Here is a 2,697-nt window from a genome sequence, read left to right on the forward strand (position 1 = left end):
ACCCCTCTGGGATTAGGGTTTTATAACCTACTTTAAATAAAGGTTGGAAAATTCTTTTATGGCCTGCTTCAGGGTAGAACAGCAAGAGAAGGCTAGAGACCCTTCCTGCTCCTTCTGTTTTGCTAAATGCCAAGGTACTATATTTCGGGGTAGTGTGATATTGGAATTAGTATTTGGGCTTCCCCAGGGAAGCACCAATTTTGACCCATGATAGAATGGAGAGCCCATTATTAGTCCCCAAAGAAGCTAGTCTTGAACTATTAAAACACAAATGATGAACTCAGTGCTATAAGAAAAGGGTCTCTGCATTTAATTTATTGGTCTGGTTCTGATTAGTCGTGTGGCCTTGAGCAAATCACTTGCATTTCTGGGCTTCACGTTCCTTATCAGTGGGTAAATGAATGAATGGAATTGGTCCATTTGTAAGCCCCCATGAGTTTATAAAATTAGAGCTGTTGAAAGGGAGATCTGTGCTCAGCCTTTGTCTGAGGCAGTTTCACCCCCTTTCACCTGGGCGACTGTATGCGCCTTTGCAGTCCTTCAAGATGGCGACTGGCCCTTGCCATCTCTCAACTCCTATGATGTTTCTGGCAGAGTTCCTCCTGTTGACTCATCTTCCAACCTCAGACTCCTAAGAAAGTACAGACTAGTGATGACCAGGATGGGCCATGGTGGTTGAAAATTTAGAGCTTGGGGTAGGGTCGACCTGAGGGAAAGAACATGTTAATGAGTTTATGTGGGCAGTGAGATGATCCATGTAATGACAGGCAGAACTTAATGCTTCCTGCTCCCTCCCCTTCCTTCTCTCTTCCCCTCAAGGCTGGCTTCCCACCAGAATTGTGCTATTTAATTATCTTTGCTGATAAAGATAAATGGCAATCATTCAACTCCTGAATGAGTAAAAAGAGAAATTTCACATGAGTCACCCAGGGTCTTCTTTCAAACCTCACTGGAAACTAAGCTGTGTTTTTTTATGACTTCTCTGCTTTGCAGGGACTCTAATTTCCTCCACTGGCGACCATTACAGTCCTTTATATAGAACAGTAAAAACAACATGGCACATTAACCTTTGTGAATGACACAGTCAGAAGGTGCCTTCGTCAGCAGTGGGCTCTGATGTAAACATGGGGAAGTGAGACACAGCTTTGGTACAGATTTCTTTGTATAACTTACACCCCTGTGGCCTGGGTGACACTTTTAAAAGTCACAGAAAATGCCAGCTTTGTCCCTCCCTGTTGGAGGTGGGGGAGAGACTGTCACAAATGGCCAGTTTAGAGCAGGATGTGGACATCTCACCAGTTCTCATGGCCTTCTCTGCTGCCACCCCGCTCTGAGCCACCACCGCCTCTCCCCTGGACGATTGCAATGGCTTTGTGACTGGTTCTCCCTGTTTCTGCCCCCATGGTGTATTTTCAAATCAGCAGCCAGAGGAATCTTTTAAAAACATATTAGATTACATCACTGTTCTAGGTTACCCAGCCTCAGCTCACACTCTGAGTAGAAGACAAAGTCTTTCCAATGCCAAATGGGCTCAGGCAGTCTGCCCCAGGTACTTCTCTGTCCCGACTCCTGGCCCACATTACCTGGAAGGGCCTTGGCTCTGGCTGTTTCTTCTGCCGGTAATATTCTTCACCAGATTTCTGCAGGCCCCTCCCACTCCCCTCCTTCAAGCCATTATTCAAATACTGTCTTTTCGATGGGGGTCTTTCCTGTCTTCCTATCTGAAGATGCAAACTTATCTCCCACACTCTCTTTCCTTTTTCCTAGCACTTATCAATGTCTTACATGCAATTTTCAAAATTTAAAGCAAAAAAATCTGCTGGTTACTTCCAAAATCACCAGTTTCATATCTCTAGTTAAATAAATAAATACTATATGTAACATTATTGTTATTATTTACCATTTATCTCTCCCAAGTGAAAATATGCTCCTTGAAGATGGGAATTTTTGTCTTTGTTCCCTACTTTTGGGACTGTATCCTTTAGGTCAGGGATTCTCCAACTTTCATATGCCCGGGAATCACCTGGGGGTCCTTTTAAAAAATGTAGACTCTAATTGGTAGCTTTGGGATGAGAACTGAGAATTTGCATCTCCAACAAGCTCTCAGGTGATACTTGCTATTGAATGAATCTGGGTTCTGCCCGCCCAATGCCGCAAACTCAAACACTGACATCGGGATTTCAGTGAGAGAAAATGAGGCATTTATGGTAGGGCACTAAGCAGGGGGAATGGGGCTGCTAAAGCCTAAGACCCAAATTCCCGGAGGGCTTACAGATAAGGGTTTCTAAAGGTGGGGAGGCAGAGGTCACAGGAAAAGTCATGAGTCAATACATGGAGGCTATGCATTGCTTTGACCTAGAAAGGCAGGACATCTTGAAGCAGGGGCCCAAAGGTCATAGGTGGAGTCAAAGATTTTCTGATTTGCAATTGGTTAAGGAGGTGAAGCTTTGTGTAGAAAGTTTAGGATCAGCAGAAAAGAATGTTAGCTCTGGCTCATGGGTGTGTCCTCCTCCAGGCCTTTCAGGAAGAAATTTAGAACAAAGGACAGCAGTGACAGTTTCCAGTCCTCAGTTTCTCCTTATCTGAGGTCTGTGTGCCAGTGGATCTGTTTGGTGTAGATCAAGATTTCTGAAAAACAACTCAGGGACATACTGATATGGTTTGGATCTGTGTCCCCACCCAAATCTTGTATTGAAA

General features: G+C 44.3%; 1 annotated feature.

Annotated features, from left to right (window-relative positions):
- Nucleotides 302-1,501: an enhancer, noted in NCBI's record as "CDK7 strongly-dependent group 2 enhancer chr20:18897388-18898587 (GRCh37/hg19 assembly coordinates)". NCBI's record gives its function as "activates an origin of replication core promoter dependent on BRD2, BRD4, P300/CBP, MED14 and CDK7 cofactors, with strong dependence on CDK7, by STARR-seq in HCT116 cells {active_cell/tissue: HCT116}" and the evidence as "EXISTENCE:reporter gene assay evidence [ECO:0000049][PMID:35650434]".

Source organism: Homo sapiens, chromosome 20, assembly GCF_000001405.40.
Source record: "Homo sapiens chromosome 20, GRCh38.p14 Primary Assembly".
NCBI classification, from domain to species: Eukaryota; Metazoa; Chordata; class Mammalia; order Primates; family Hominidae; genus Homo; species Homo sapiens.